This window comes from Homo sapiens, chromosome 15 (assembly GCF_000001405.40).
Source record: "Homo sapiens chromosome 15, GRCh38.p14 Primary Assembly".
NCBI classification, from domain to species: Eukaryota; Metazoa; Chordata; class Mammalia; order Primates; family Hominidae; genus Homo; species Homo sapiens.
This window is the reverse complement of record NC_000015.10, coordinates 31,025,414-31,040,665: the sequence shown is the minus strand read 5'-3', so window position 1 is coordinate 31,040,665 and position 15,252 is coordinate 31,025,414. Positions and strand designations below refer to the sequence as shown.

General features: G+C 42.6%; 1 protein-coding gene and 1 long non-coding RNA gene across 6 annotated transcripts in view, besides 1 other annotated feature; one reads left to right on the top strand and one right to left on the bottom strand.

Annotated features, from left to right (window-relative positions):
- Positions 1–15,252, top strand: part of TRPM1 (transient receptor potential cation channel subfamily M member 1) — a 160,096-nt gene that overhangs the window by 120,495 nt on the left and 24,349 nt on the right. For all 3 annotated transcript variants that reach the window (NM_001252020.2, NM_002420.6, NM_001252024.2), the window contains 10 exons: positions 320–548; positions 2,500–2,622; positions 2,824–2,955; positions 4,992–5,120; positions 7,726–7,977; positions 9,509–9,683; positions 11,275–11,295; positions 12,190–12,334; positions 13,549–13,751; positions 14,395–14,527. In NM_001252020.2, coding sequence (NP_001238949.1) covers positions 320–548; positions 2,500–2,622; positions 2,824–2,955; positions 4,992–5,120; positions 7,726–7,977; positions 9,509–9,683; positions 11,275–11,295; positions 12,190–12,334; positions 13,549–13,751; positions 14,395–14,527 — 1,542 coding nt within the window. The remainder of the gene's footprint in view (positions 1–319; positions 549–2,499; positions 2,623–2,823; positions 2,956–4,991; positions 5,121–7,725; positions 7,978–9,508; positions 9,684–11,274; positions 11,296–12,189; positions 12,335–13,548; positions 13,752–14,394; positions 14,528–15,252) is intronic.
- Positions 3,248–14,478, bottom strand: TRPM1-AS1 (TRPM1 antisense RNA 1). Of its 3 annotated transcripts, XR_932056.2 has the most exons (5): positions 13,555–13,794; positions 5,010–5,096; positions 4,744–4,913; positions 3,828–4,213; positions 3,248–3,507 (listed from the first exon to the last, which is right to left on the bottom strand). It is a non-coding gene; the product is annotated as a TRPM1 antisense RNA 1 (long non-coding RNA). The 3 variants fall into 3 exon arrangements; XR_932055.2 differs by lacking the exons at positions 3,248–3,507; positions 3,828–4,213 and adding an exon at positions 14,348–14,478 and having other exon boundaries at positions 4,409–4,913; positions 13,555–13,701; XR_007064555.1 differs by lacking the exons at positions 3,248–3,507; positions 5,010–5,096 and having other exon boundaries at positions 3,519–4,213; positions 13,555–13,642.
- Positions 13,586–14,785: an enhancer, noted in NCBI's record as "BRD4-independent group 4 enhancer chr15:31318084-31319283 (GRCh37/hg19 assembly coordinates)". NCBI's record gives its function as "activates an origin of replication core promoter dependent on BRD2, P300/CBP, MED14 and CDK7 cofactors, and independent of BRD4, by STARR-seq in HCT116 cells {active_cell/tissue: HCT116}" and the evidence as "EXISTENCE:reporter gene assay evidence [ECO:0000049][PMID:35650434]".

Below are 15,252 nucleotides of genomic sequence, written 5' to 3'. Positions count from 1 at the left end.
GTGCACAACTTGAGGGAAGGGACTTTGTCTTCTCGTCTCTATGTCCCTGGGGTCTGAGGGGCAGATGTGGTCTCAACCTACAGCTCCATTTGCAGCAGTAGCAGTCAGCCCACCTCCTGACTGAGCTCCCAGCCACTGTCCCTGGCCTTCCCCCTTTGGGGACACATCCCTGGAGCTTCTTGCTTGCAGAGAACCTCAGAGCCCCTCCAGTGAAGGATACTGTGTCCCGTGGCTCCATAAGTCCTTGGTGGATATGCCTGTCTAAGAAACAGCTTGCGGCCACTGTGGCTTCACCCTGGTCCCTTCTCTTTCCCCCCAGAGACTTCGGCCAGCTTGCTTTGGAGTTATTAGACCAGTCCTATAAGCATGACGAGCAGATCGCTATGAAACTCCTGACCTACGAGCTGAAAAACTGGAGCAACTCGACCTGCCTCAAACTGGCCGTGGCAGCCAAACACCGGGACTTCATTGCTCACACCTGCAGCCAGATGCTGCTGACCGATATGTGGATGGGAAGACTGCGGATGCGGAAGAACCCCGGCCTGAAGGTGCGTGCAACGTGCTGCGAGGCGGGCCAGGGTGACAGTGACAAGTGACTCTCTGCCAGGCTGAACTGAGCACTTTCTGTGGCTTATTTCATTTATTCCTTCTAGCAACCCCCTGAGGGAGACGCCATGACAATCATTGTCTTATAGATGAGGAATCTGAAGCTTTGAGATGAAGTGACATGCCTAGGATCTTAGCTGGTCAGCATGGGATCAGAACCTACACTCAGGTGCTCTAACTCCAGAGCCCCACCTGACCAGCCCACCAGGCTGCACAAACCCCTGCCACAGTCAGAGTCTCCTAATGGAGCCCCCCATAACTCAGTATGCACACGCACCCTGGTTGGGTCGTCTACCCACCATTAAAGGAGGGACTGGAACTCTGTTTCTAGATTCCCTTATAACTCTGAAATTGTGTATTATTTTAACTAGTGATGTTTTCATGACATGGGAGAAAATTACAAGAAAATAGGAAGCTACGAAAGGGTTTGAAAAAGATATAGTGGGGGAAAAATTATATTGCAATCAAACCCTAGCTCTTGGGTTTACTGCTGTTAACTACTAGGTTATCTTGAGAAGAGATTCTAATCTGCAGATAACCTAGCAATCTAATGGCAGTATTATATCTATTTTAGAGCTCTCCATGAGGATAAAGAAAAGACTATACGAGTTACACTGTGTAGTATGGTTCTGGCAAATAGAGGGCACTTTGTTTCTTAGAAATGTGAATGTTATGCTTAACTGTCTAATTCTATATAATATGCTAAGCTGATGTTATACATAACTTAGGATATTAATAAACAGTTTTCAGAATTCCAAGAATAAAGAGCTCTTTAAGGTTTTCAGGAAACTAAAGTAGATCGCCTACATGGGGATGAACATCAAATTGGCATCAGACTTTTCATCAACAACACTGAAACCCAGAAGGCAGCACTGGAGTAAGGCCTTCACGGTTCTGAAGGGAAGGCATTTGGAGCCTGGAATATTTTCTACCCAGGCCAACTATTCAAAAAGCATGAGAAAAGAATATCTGTTTAAGACAGGCAAAGACTCAAACTATACACCTTCAACCTCCCATGCAGAAGAATTAGTTTAGCAGGTAGTCCAAGCAAAAAAAAAAAAAAAAAAAGGGGAAGCATGTTTTCTATCTATGAGCCTGGGCATCCGGGCATCCTTTTGTTGTCTAGGCCGAGCCCATGTTAGTCCTTCTTTTCTGAGTCACATTAGCCTTGCAACTCTTAGTTCACATAATCTCATTTATATCAAAGTTATTTCTATATAAAATACTTTTGGCCTACTTCACTAGAGGTATTATATTTTATTTATATTATTCTATTTTAATTTAAAGATTTGCCTTCCTCGAAATTTCATGTAAGGACTTTTATTTTATTTTATTTTATTTTATTTTTGAGACAGGGTCTTGCTCTGTCACCCAGGCTGGAGTGCAGTGGCGCGATCTCGCCTCACTGCAAGCTCCGCCTCCTGGGTTCAAGTGATTCTTGTGCCTCAGCCTCCCAAGTAGCTGGTATTACAGACGTGCACCACCATGCCCAGTTAATTTTTGTATTTTAGTAGAGATGGGGTTTCACCATGTTGGCCAGGCTGGTCTCAAACTCCTGGCCTCATATGAGCCACCAACCTTGGCCTCCCAAAAGTGCTGGGATTACAGGTGTGAGCTACCATGCCAGCCAAGACTTTTCTTTTTAAAGTTAGGATCACCAACAGTGCTGTTTGCCATTCATCTAAAAAATTTAGTGTATGTTCTTAAATTGTTTTACTGCCTGCAATTCTACTAATTTACCAAGCACATGTCACAGAACGTCAGACCAGGGATAACATTCCAGGGCTCCTAGGTTATTGAATAATGTTGAAGGTCATAATTTAAAAATTTTAACTATGCTGGGACATTTTTCTAGAATTGCCACAGCTTAAAAAATCAATTTATGTTCCGTAGGTTATCATGGGGATTCTTCTACCCCCCACCATCTTGTTTTTGGAATTTCGCACATATGATGATTTCTCGTATCAAACATCCAAGGAAAATGAGGATGGCAAAGAAAAAGAAGAGGAAAATACGGTCAGTGACACACTTGACCCTAAGCATATCAGTGTAATCTTGTTTTCAAAATTGTTGAGATTTCTTGTACCACAGATTGAGAAATCTCACTGGTTAAAGGTATTTTTGGAATTGTGTTTTTCTAATGGTGCCTGTGTGCCGGAGTGCCTTGCATTTCCCATTTAGCCACCTGCCTGTCATGTGCTGTGCTCTGTTTTCCAGGATGCAAATGCAGATGCTGGCTCAAGAAAGGGGGATGAGGAGAACGAGCACAAAAAACAGAGAAGTATTCCCATCGGAACAAAGATCTGTGAATTCTATAACGCGCCCATTGTCAAGTTCTGGTTTTACACAGTGAGGCCTCCTCCTGAACATTTGACATTCAGTATATTTTGAATGCTTTGATATGTTGGAATCAAGAAAAACTTCAAGGGCTTAAAAAAGTATCTAAAAATTCACTGAATTAAAATGAATTATGAGAACAAAACTGGGACTAATTGAGATCTCTGGCTAACATTGGATCTCGATATCCTGTCACATATTGATATATGGCCATCCTAGTCCCAAATACACCATCTCATAAGGCAAAATAGTCACATGCTATTTGCTTAAGATGAATTCTTCTGATGCCTTTAGCAATACAAACTTAAGGAACTATAATTTTATTTTTAAATGAACAGAGATGACTAGTGATTTAAAGAGCAAATTCACAGATTCCATTTTTCATGAAATTGGTGGGGTCATTACAAGGGCATGGCTAAATCCAGATGGTAAACTCTTGGAATAGGGAAACAAATCAAGGCGTCTCATTCTGAAGTGCTCACCAAACTGACCCGCTTGGCTGGCAAGCCATCCTCCAGCCCTCTCTGAGGCCCTGGGTCTACACAGCTCCCAGAGTGTGGCTCTCTACTAACAAGAACAGGAGAGGAGGCAGGAGGGCAGATCAGAGCGCCTCTGGGGGAAATGGCCGAGCTGCAGGCGGTCCCAGTGGGGGTGGCCAGGCACACTGTGGCTTGTGCAACCACGTCAGTCGGGAGGAGAGAGACTTCTCATGAAATCCCAAGCATCAAGCCACAGCCCCCGCCAGGCAGGCCTCGGTGCTGTGGTTGCACTGGTGATGAGGTGAGAGCAGGGTATGGGACATGAGGAGCTGGGTCCCTGGCCGTGGTCTGGGCGATGAATGAGGGTGGGCTGGGGGCAGAGCAAAGCTCTGTGTGGGGGCCCACCTCAAGGGTCAGCTGAGGGCCTGGACACCCAACCTTGTGGCAGCCAAGATTGATGATACAGTCGAAGTCACTGCTGCCCATCGATTCTGGTTAGAACCATCTGAGGGCCTGGGGTGCACCCAGCCTGCAGGAGAGCCCAGCCATAGAGGCTGCTGCCGGAGATGGGGCCAGGAAGCCATCGAGGCCTCTCAGCCTTGGGTCTCACCCCAGACCCTCTGGATCGGGTGGAGGGTGGAGTCATCACACATTGTGCAGCTTCGCAGGGATTAGGATGCAGCCCAAAGTCTGAGAACATGGCTCTAATCTTTCTTCAAAGAGTGGATAGTGGATCTTGGGGTGGGGCCTGCCTCTCTCCTGGTAAAGCTTATAGGCTTGGGAGGCAGGATCTTGAAAAAAAAGAAAAAAAAACCAAACTGCCCAGTTACAAATACTCAGTTTTTAGCACCCCTCCCCCAAGCCTTCCACAGGGGCCTGTGCCAGTGAGGGACCCAGAAGCTTAAGTTTCCTTGGCATCATGGTGAATCACTGGGGACAGGTGATCTACTTCAGACGTCCTCCCCCAACCCCTTAACTCCCCGCTTTTGCCTCACCCACTGCCACCTCCAGCTCTGCCTCTTTCCCTGCCACAGAGATAGGGGCCCTGCTGTGGCCACAGCAAATCCTGGACATGCCACCAGTAACTGAGGGGACTCTAGGGTCAGCTCGCATATCTGGGTGGGCAACTCATCCACATGTCCTCTCATCTAACTTCCCAGTTGTGGAAAGAATCAGGAAGGAAATTTCTGAGGCAGGGAGGAGTAAGTAACATTTTCCAGTTTCCAGGAATGTAGAAGACACTCCAGCAAACTATTAAAAGTTTCCCGTTATCATAATGTTTGCAACTTCATAGTTTCCCCATGAGGATGACAGCACCAACCAATATGTCTCCATGTAGAAAATGAAAAGTCAGGGCCCATATCGTGCTGAAGTATAAAATGCCTCCCGTCCTGCCTCCAGGTCTTCTGTCTGCACTGGTGAGGTGCAGTGAAGGTTTCCTCTCAATGAGTCAGTCCAGTTGGAAACAAAGATTCTTTTAGATGTGTCAACCTGAAAGAAAACAGCGTTTCAAAATTTGATTGCTATGTGATTCCCCCAAACACGGCTAACAGCTTGTCTTTCTTTCAGATATCATACTTGGGCTACCTGCTGCTGTTTAACTACGTCATCCTGGTGCGGATGGATGGCTGGCCGTCCCTCCAGGAGTGGATCGTCATCTCCTACATCGTGAGCCTGGCGTTAGAGAAGATACGAGAGGTGGCTACTCCAAAGGCCTCCCCCAGCCCACTAACCGCTGACTGCAAATGCAGATATGGCTCCTTACTGAAAAAACGTTTCATGCAAATTATGCATGTTGGGCCAGGCGTGGTGGCTCATGCCTGTAATCCCAGCACTCTGGGAGGCTGAGGCGGATGGATCACTTGAGGTCAGGAATTTGAAACCAGCCTGGCCAACAGGGTGAATGAAACACTGCCTCTACTAAAAATAAAAAAAATTAGCCAGTCGTGGTGGTGCACGCCTGTAATGCCAGCTACTAGGGAGGCTGAGGTGTGAGGATCACTTGAGATAGCAGTAATTCGAAACCAGCCTGGCCAACATGGTGAAACCCCGTCTCAACTAAAAATACAAAAATTAGCCGGTCGTGTGGCAGTTGCCTGTAATTTCGGCTACTCAGGAGGCTGAGGTGGAAGGATCACTTGAACCCTGGAGGCAGAGGTTGCAATGAGCCGAGATCGCGCCACTGCACTCCAGCCTGAGTGACAGAGTGAGAGTCCATCTCGAAAACAAAAACAAAAAAACAAATTACACATGCTGTGGGACTTTTTTTGGAGGTATCACAATCCCAAGTTTATTCCATTTCTTTATTTAAGATGTATACATCTTGAATGAACTTGAACTTGCAAATCAAAACACAAGGCAAAATAAAGATATTTAATAATGAAAACAGGTTTGAATGCATAGGAAAGCATCAGCAAATGCTGCCAGCGACCTGAGATAAACCAATTACCGCAACTGGGCACAAATTTTGGCTTAGTTATTTGGGATCAGAGGGAGAAAGAGAGATACAAGAGACACTTGCACAGTGTGGTCCAAAGCCCAAAGTTACAGGAAAAATGCCATCTCTTTTATCTCTGGACTCTTGTGCAGGAGATTTATGAAGGGAGGGCTCCCAGTCAGGAGGAAAAGGAGCTAAGTGAGGTGTGGCTTCAGGTGGACCCTGTCCTTGGCCTAATCCTGTAGGGGGCTCTGAGTGGACTGGACACTGTGGAGTCTGTCTCACCTTTGGGCCCCACCTCAATTTGTCATTGGTACCCACCAGAGACATGGCTCCAAGCATCTAAGAGCAAGCCTCCCAGAAGGGGGCAGGTGTGGGCCTAACAGCAGCACCTGCAGCAGATGGGGTGGGCAAGCCCACCTGGGGAAAAGCTCCAGGGGATATGGGAGGGGCCTAGAGCGTTTGCTGCAAACAGAGGGAACAGGATTTTCAACTCAGTATTGCAAAAGAACAGATACCATCTCACATATGACTCGTTATCCCAGAGAGCTCGAGTGAAAATGTAACTCCCAGTAAGCAATCTCTGCAGACAGCAGAGGAAAGATAGGCCGGATACTTCCCTTTCCAATATCATTCAGAAGTTTTAATTCACTAAATTTGCTTATAAAGAGAAAGCATGTATCCAAGCAAAAAAGCAACTTGAGCTGAAAAAGCCCACAGCATCATTTCATATCCTTTCTCCAACTGATATACAACCAATACTATTATTTTGCAGTAATTGTTGACCCTTTCACTGAACTGAAAAACATTATTAACCTAGTCCAGATAGAGGGAATCTGATGGCATCGGTCTAATTAGAGCCTGAAAAACCAAAAGAGCACTGAATCCAAAATTATACTTGCCACCTTCTACTACTGTTCCTTTTCTAGCTGGGCCTCATTCAAATTCTGCAGGTGCTGCAACTGGTATTTCCTGAGCGGCCTGCTTTACCATCGCTGTGCCGTCCTGGCCTTGCTGAGGGTCCACCATACACCGAGACACTGTTCTTTATTCCAGAAACCTGCCCCCAGTTATAGGAGAGAGAGGGTGGCCATCGGCTAGTGTGCATGGGTTGTTAAACTAGTGAATCCCTTCTGTGTGGGCTGACAGATAGCCACTGCCCCATCCTACCACAGAGATCCCCAAGACCTCTGCAACTGAAGGGGTACCACCTGGCATGGCAACCCTCCATCCCAGTGTGGTACCACAGACAGCTGTGCCATTGGGAAGGCTCTGCGCACGCCTGTGCATGCTGCTTGCTAAATATCTTCCATTTTACTCTGTGGAAGTCTCCCCTTAAGCAGCAGTGATTTTGAAAGGATAATATCTCAAGTAGGGGAAAACCTGGTCTAACTTTCCCCTAATTTCTCATGTCTAAGTTGCAAAGGAATTTTGCCAAATCAAAACATTTCCTAGTGGTATTCTGCCATCTCCACTGGGTGGACTGCCCCTCTGTGGGGCCACGTGGGGCTCATCTATGCTCTAGAGTTTTCATCCTGTGTGACTCTGGAATGTGGAGTAACAGGCACGTGTCCAGATAATTAAAAAAGAAATCAAAATGCAGCTGCTTTAATTACAGCCAGAAGGACATAATTTAGAAGGCATTTCCTGAGTTTGTAAAACCCTGAATCTAAGAATAGGGAGGATTCCGTGGAATTTCCCTTTCTAGATATCTCTCCCTGCCTGAGAAGAAGAGTGTTTAAACGTTTTGAGTAGGAAAGGGGCCAGATGACCTGGAATGTTCCATCAGTCTTATTGTTCCAAGATTCTAAGACAAGACTTCTAATACGGCATCTCAGTTTATTGTTCTTTGGGGTTTGTTTTCAGATCCTCATGTCAGAACCAGGCAAACTCAGCCAGAAAATCAAAGTTTGGCTTCAGGAGTACTGGAACATCACAGATCTCGTGGCCATTTCCACATTCATGATTGGAGCAATTCTTCGCCTACAGAACCAGCCCTACATGGGCTATGGCCGGGTGATCTACTGTGTGGATATCATCTTCTGGTACATCCGTGTCCTGGACATCTTTGGTGTCAACAAGTATCTGGGGCCATACGTGATGATGATTGGAAAGATGGTTAGTAGTGGCATCCTGTGGGTATCCAGAGAGACTTTGGCTGTAGTTAGGACATAAGAACAGGCCTTGGGCATGGCTTCCTTCAATTTCATTTGGTTTTTCTTTTGCAGTTGGCTTTTTAAAGGAAATATTCTTTGCTTTAAGATACACAGTTCTCCTACATGTTGATAACTTAATAAAATCCAATAGAAAAACATGAGTTGAGGGCCTACTGTGTATATATACATAACATATATACATATATAGTGTATATACATTCACTGTATATATGTGTGTATACATACACACGTACACATGTATATCTCTCTCAATATATATCAGGTACTCAATATATACTGTCTCCCTTCTTCCATACCATATCTCAACTGTAGGGTGACTAATTACGTTTGTTTTTTATTCCTTCTGATTTATTATTAATGAGTCTATTTTGACAGCAATATAAAAGAAAATAGCCTCGTTTTTTTGTAAGAGCTTACTTCACTTTCCCAGGACATAAGAGAACATCAATTTTTGATGCAATAGGAATTCAGTAGCAAAATAGATGTCTCAAAATATTTACTTCTTGATGGCTGGAAACATATTTTCAGCATTCTTTAGTACAGGGACATGGATTTGATGTTCTATGAGACTACATCCACTTCAGAATGTATATATATATGGCCAAAAAAAAAAAAAAAAAAAACCCCGCCTGATTTATAACCTCCTAACATGTGGTAGAAGCCGGAGACAAAGGGAGCCCAGGGCCAATCCCCAACCTGTACTCCAGATGATCTTCAGCTCATTTACTCTGGCCTGGAGTGAACACAGGAAGTCCATGTGATTAGACCATGATGACTTATACTCCAGAACAGGCCAGAGAATATGAAACTGAAAATGAACCAGCAGGTCATCCTTACATTACCTAAAAGAGCTTCAGTGTTAGGACTGGTACAAGAAGAAAGCAAGCCTCCTACATTTAGGAAGGACTCTTTATAGGGCAAGTGGTTTTGAGCTAAGGGAAGTATGCTTTAGTAAATTCCAGCAAGGGCCTCCATCTTCAGGGATGTTCAAAATTAGGAATTATACCAGTTTAGTATCCACAGTAACCAGGGCATTGCTCAGCACTTGTGTAGTGAATGAATAAATGTTGGTCTATACTCTCAATTCATTATCGTTTTATTTCCTTAGGTATCTGCTCCTCTTCCTCCTTAGCATCCCTTACAAACTCCCATCTTTTCTTCTAATTCTTCCCTTTCTCCATTTGCAGTTGTAGTTACTAAGGGACATGTGTTTATGGGCAACAACAGAGAAGAAGCAAGAAGGATGAAGAGCAGATGAAGATAGCAATGTTCTAGAAGACATTCTAGGCATAAAGCATTGCATGGAGTAGGAAAAAGCCTTCCCAGGGATGGGAAGAAAGGAAGGGAAAGAGGCTTTCTTCGTCCTAATTAAGCACTCGTGAAGTGCTTAATTGGAGACAGCAATATAATGAGCCAGGGTGAACTTGGCCCACAAGCCAAGACAGTGAGAGACAAATGTTCTCCTTACTCAGATGATCGACATGCTGTACTTTGTGGTCATCATGCTGGTCGTGCTCATGAGTTTCGGAGTAGCCCGTCAAGCCATTCTGCATCCAGAGGAGAAGCCCTCTTGGAAACTGGCCCGAAACATCTTCTACATGCCCTACTGGATGATCTATGGAGAGGTGTTTGCAGACCAGATAGACCGTAAGAGTAGAATTCATAGTAAGATTCTCTTCCCTGCTTCTGAGGCAGATGATCAGTTCCAAATTAATGGAAGAACATGTATTAATTTGGAAATAAAAAATATTTGTCACTCCACCATAGGCATCAAATTATTTTACAAAGAAATAAGAACAAATTATGGAACATGGATTTTCAGACATCAGTCATTTCTTTTATTCTAAAAATAATTCACTAGAATTCCCTTGAGCTGGACCTGATGGACATCGTGTCACATGAATGCAGTTCTAATGCCAATAGCCTAGTTTTTCTTCAACCCAGTATCTCCCCACCCCAGGATAAGGCTGATAGTGTTTTCCAGTAGAATGAACTAGTGAACAGAGCAGAGTAACTGATACTTCCCACCATCCTCTTCTTAAAGCCATCAGAGCCCATTTTCCACATAGCTACCCATTTCATACCCATTTCATCTTCACTACTAGAGTGCTATTTTGTATTATCAAAAATAATCTGGATGTTAGTAGAGGAAATGGGCTATGATCCTGCACAGATTTCTGGGGAATGTAGGCCCAGCTCCTCTGCAGGCTGAGCTGGTGTCTTCTGGATTGAAGGAATGTAAAGCTCAAATGTTCTTGTACACTATTTACCAGGACAGTTGAATAAATGTTCCACCAGTGAAGGAGGCACTTTTAGTCCCATTTCCATTTCAGGACCAACATTTTCATTTGCATGTTGTGATTTATCATAAAGCATCAGCTATAATAGCATGTCTGCTGCTTCCAGAGCTCTGCTATTTGGGAATAGAAAGTTTTTATCATCTTCCTCTCATATGGAATGTAGGGCTGTCAGTGTATATCTACTGCCTCTAGGTTAGACAATAACCAGCTCATGCAGTAGCTTCTTTCTAACTTTTATAATGTCATTCTGACCATATCATTATTGCAAGTATCACAAAGTCAACTATTGAAGTGTGTTAGTAGCTTGGTAAGCCAGAACATAAAAATCTAATTTGATTTCAAAAGAATATTAGTTTAGGTAGATATACATACACGTTAAAAGTTCCTGAATTCCAGGCATAAACTGTAGTATTTTTATTGTTGAGCTCTTTTTTTTTTAAATTAAATTGGGTTATGAGAGAAGGTAAAGAGGTAAACTTTAGGCTGTGCTATTCTCAGTAACATAATTAAATGTAGGTTTTTGATTCTTGATCTATTAACTAATAATTTTGTAGTTATTTGTGCTTATGAGGTGTTTGTGTTGGAATATAGGGAGCGCGTGATTGGTTAACCTGATCATCTGCCAGTAACATCATGTCTTTTTCACAGTATTTTTAACTAGTGAGCTTTTGCTCTCGCTTATGACACAGGGTAAAATAAATATCCATGATATATATTTTCTAGAATGATTAATGTATGTAATTCTTCTAAACAGATCACTGTTTCTAAGTGTGAATCAATATTTCCCAAGCTTAAAATATTTGCATTTCTTCACAGCAAAACAGTTATGTTGTTAAACCACTTGTTTTACTTTTCTCTCAACCATCATCTTATTTTCTTTCCTCCCCTCCTGTCAAAACAAAACAAAACAAAAATCCTGCTTTCCAATCGTCATGTAGTCTACGCCATGGAAATTAATCGTAAGTTTACATGGAATTGATTATTCTAGTCTATGGAATGTGTTTTTCAATTACCTTTTCCTTAGCTGATTACTAGTAGTCTTAAACTGTTTTCAAATACTTCTCTTGTTTTTTGGTGCCAGTACTTTTTAAGCTGTCAGTAAAAAGTAAAGAGAACCACAAATTCACTGTTGGGATCACCCTATTTTTTTAGGGGAGAAATAGACCCCCTATGATAAAAAGTTGCATTTCAAATGAGCAGAGGGAGAAAAGATTATTTTTCAAACATGGCACCAAAACAGTTGATTAAACAATTTGGGAAGTAGAGGAAATCCCTAACCCATACAACATAACAAAAATATTTTCAAATTTAATGTATCAGTGAAACCAAGAAAACAACCAGAAGACAACATAAGCTGATGTTAAATAATTAGAAGCCACAATGACTTTCAAATGGATAACGATAAAGGGAAAAAACATAAAGATACATTTGTCTGCTTAAAAATGAAGACTTTTATATTTGAAAGCCACAATAAAGAAATGGGAAAATGTTTAGAAATATGACAAATAATGACTATCTCTGAGCGCAGATATGAGTTTCTGACTTTTTTCTTTGTGTGAGTTGTTTTTTTTTTGAGACAACTGGGAGTCTCGCTCAGTCACCCAGGCTGGAGTACAGTGGCTCGATCTCGGCTCACTGCAAGCTCTGCCTCCCGGGTTCACGCCATTCTCCTGCCTCAGACTCCCGAGTAGCTGGGGCTACAGAGTTTATTTTTTCCCATGGAAAAAATATTGCTTATGAAATAAGAAAGAATCATATTAAAAAAGAAATAGGTATTGAAAAACATATGTAAGAGATATTTATCCTTTTCATTATATGTAAAAAGCAAAGACAAAACTATTTTTTTCTTTCAGCTCCTTGTGGTGAGAACCTATATGATGAGGAGGGCAAGCGGCTTCCTCCCTGTATCCCCGGCGCCTGGCTCACTCCAGCACTCATGGCGTGCTATCTACTGGTCGCCAACATCCTGCTGGTGAACCTGCTGATTGCTGTGTTCAAGTACGTGTCACAGCCGATGACCACATGCTTATTATTTATTACTGTACAGATTTTCCATTTAATCTCAGAACGCTCCCAAGATACCAATATATTTGCAGATAATTTCATTAGGGTTTTTAAGTAGATCCAATTTTTGCAGTCTCTTTGTTCAAACTTAATCAGTCTTAATGTATTCATAAATCAAGAGTTGACACTTAAATACATTTAAATTTAATCTTGGTTAGTATTTTAACACTTTAGCATGTATTTTAATCTAATGAAAATATTTTCTTAGATGAAAGTCTCCTGGGGTACAGAATATTTGATTAAGTCATGCTTTTTATTCATCAGCAGAGGTGGAAAAGGCAATATGAGTTTCATAAGCTGTTACAATTACTGTAATACTAGTAAAGCATTTTTTTCTGATCATTTATAGAATACAAGATAAAATGGCCTAAGAAAAAAATGGCTTAAAGGGTTAAATCGAGTTTCTTATAAAACCTGCCTATTTGGCATGTTGTGTTGAGTATGTTGACCATGCTCAATAAATATTGAAAAAAATGATTTTAGCTTCTAAGATGAAAAATATAGAGGGAAAAATCCTTCACAGAAATATGCAATCTTAGAATTGAACAGGGCATTGGAGAAAACCTGGTCCAAACTTCTGGCTTGAGAGATGAGAAAACTAAGGTCAGGGAAGGTAACTGGTTTTCCTAAGGTCCCAGTATTGGTAGACAATGAAATCATGCACTTACTGCTTCCTGTTGGAAGCTAAAATAAGACAAAGATTGTACCTACCCCATGTCCAAAATAACGAACCTTCAATCAAATAAGTTCAATAACTAATTAATTCAGTTGAAAAAAAAGTAGTCATCTACTTGTTAGACAGAATTGAAAGTTTAAACATGTGAAAGCATTTAGTTAAATGGCTTATACCGCTACACATAGGAAATTAAATTTCCTGAGTATATGAGTAGATTGTGGTGTGGTTTTTCAAGAAAGCAGTACATAGCAATTTATTACACTTAGCTATTTATGAATACAATGTCCTTAAGCACAGATAATCCACATTGATGGATAAACCAAAAGATTGGATAATCAAGGAATCAGTACTAAAGGGCACTAAAAGGCCATCTCATTGAGTATTTTCACTTAAATGTGAGTAACTTTGACTGCTCTGGGAAATCACTATAAAAAGTAATATAACTAACTGTAAAAATGTCTTCTTTTTAAAGCAATACCTTCTTTGAAGTAAAATCAATATCCAACCAGGTGTGGAAGTTCCAGCGATATCAGCTGATTATGACATTTCATGACAGGCCAGTCCTGCCCCCACCGATGATCATTTTAAGCCACATCTACATCATCATTATGCGTCTCAGCGGCCGCTGCAGGAAAAAGAGAGAAGGGGACCAAGAGGAACGGGATCGTGGATTGAGTATGTGCAGGGCTCTTCATTTCTAAGTTGGGCTGATTTCAAAATAGTGTTCAAATTGGACATCCTCACAGAAATCTCACTCAACTACTTGCTCGTGTGAAAAGCACCACACTCAGTCCAACTGCTGTTCTTTTCAAAAGGCTTCTCATTTTGTACCCATTTTATTCTAGTTTCGTTAATTTGTTAGTAATTAATATTAGGAAAGCCAGCTCATAGAGACCAGAAGTTGAGCTAATTCTCTAAAATAACTCTACTCTGTAAATTTCTATATAAATTCAATGCTCCTTTCAAAACGTCTTAATTTGTTGCATCTAAAGAAAATGAGAAAATAATGCTATACGTTTGACTCTATTCATAAAAATAAGTGCAAAAAGTTTTCCAGGAAATATTACTTGGCTTTACTTTCCCAGTAAATGTAATTTTGTTTTTTATGTTTAAAAGCGGGCCGTTTGGCTCCAACTGATAGAGGGTTGGGGCGTATGACAACCCCTTTTTAGATAAAAATCAATTGGAGTAGTGGCGAACTGCCTTAGGAGTGGCGGAGAAGAGAGCTTAATTAAAGTGGGGCTGTGAAATTCTCATTGACGCCACGAAACTGATTCTTCTTGTTTTTCACGTGGCCGACACTTCTCCCTTCACACAGAGCTCTTCCTTAGCGACGAGGAGCTAAAGAGGCTGCATGAGTTCGAGGAGCAGTGCGTGCAGGAGCACTTCCGGGAGAAGGAGGATGAGCAGCAGTCGTCCAGCGACGAGCGCATCCGGGTCACTTCTGAAAGGTACGTGTAGCGTCCCCACCGCGGGCCCGTGAGCCAAGGGTTTGCTGACTCGGGCGCCCCACTCTATGGGGGATGCCAGAGTTCATTTAAACATGCACTCCGAGTTCTCCTGTTTTATTTAAACTTTAGGTTTTAACGTGGTTCCCACGAAATAGTGAGAAAGTTACTAGGTAATAACTGTGCATTGGATATAGAAGGGAATGACATTTATTTATCCTGGGCCGAAAGAAAACCTAACAGTTGACTACCTTCACCCCCTACCCCAAAGTGGGGGTGTTTCCGCAAGGTTAATGGAAGCTACAGAAAGCCATCCTTCTCCCAGCTCTTGTTCCTAACTTCCCTTTGCGAGCATGGTCCTCCCCAGGGGACTGCCCTCCTCATCCGGCCTAGCTGCTTGCTGCACCTTGGCAACACCTTTCCCAGCCTCACAGGGCAGAGGAAAAGGCTCCCTCCTGGGGCTCCCCTGAGAGTGGGAACTGGGAGGGGTGGGGTGCAGGGTGGGGGGTGAGGTGTCTGGCCCCATGAGGGTGGGATCCGCTAAACTAGGGCAGGGTGTGTCTTTCAGACACCTTCACATCCGCAGTACCCAGCAAGGTCAGCCTAATCTCCGCGGTGATGCTTAATAAATGCAGAGTGAATGAATGCAGGATGTGTGAACCAGTGAATGAGTAAATGAAGTCAGGTCGCGAGGTACAGAAATGGTGACATTTTCCAAACTTCGTAGT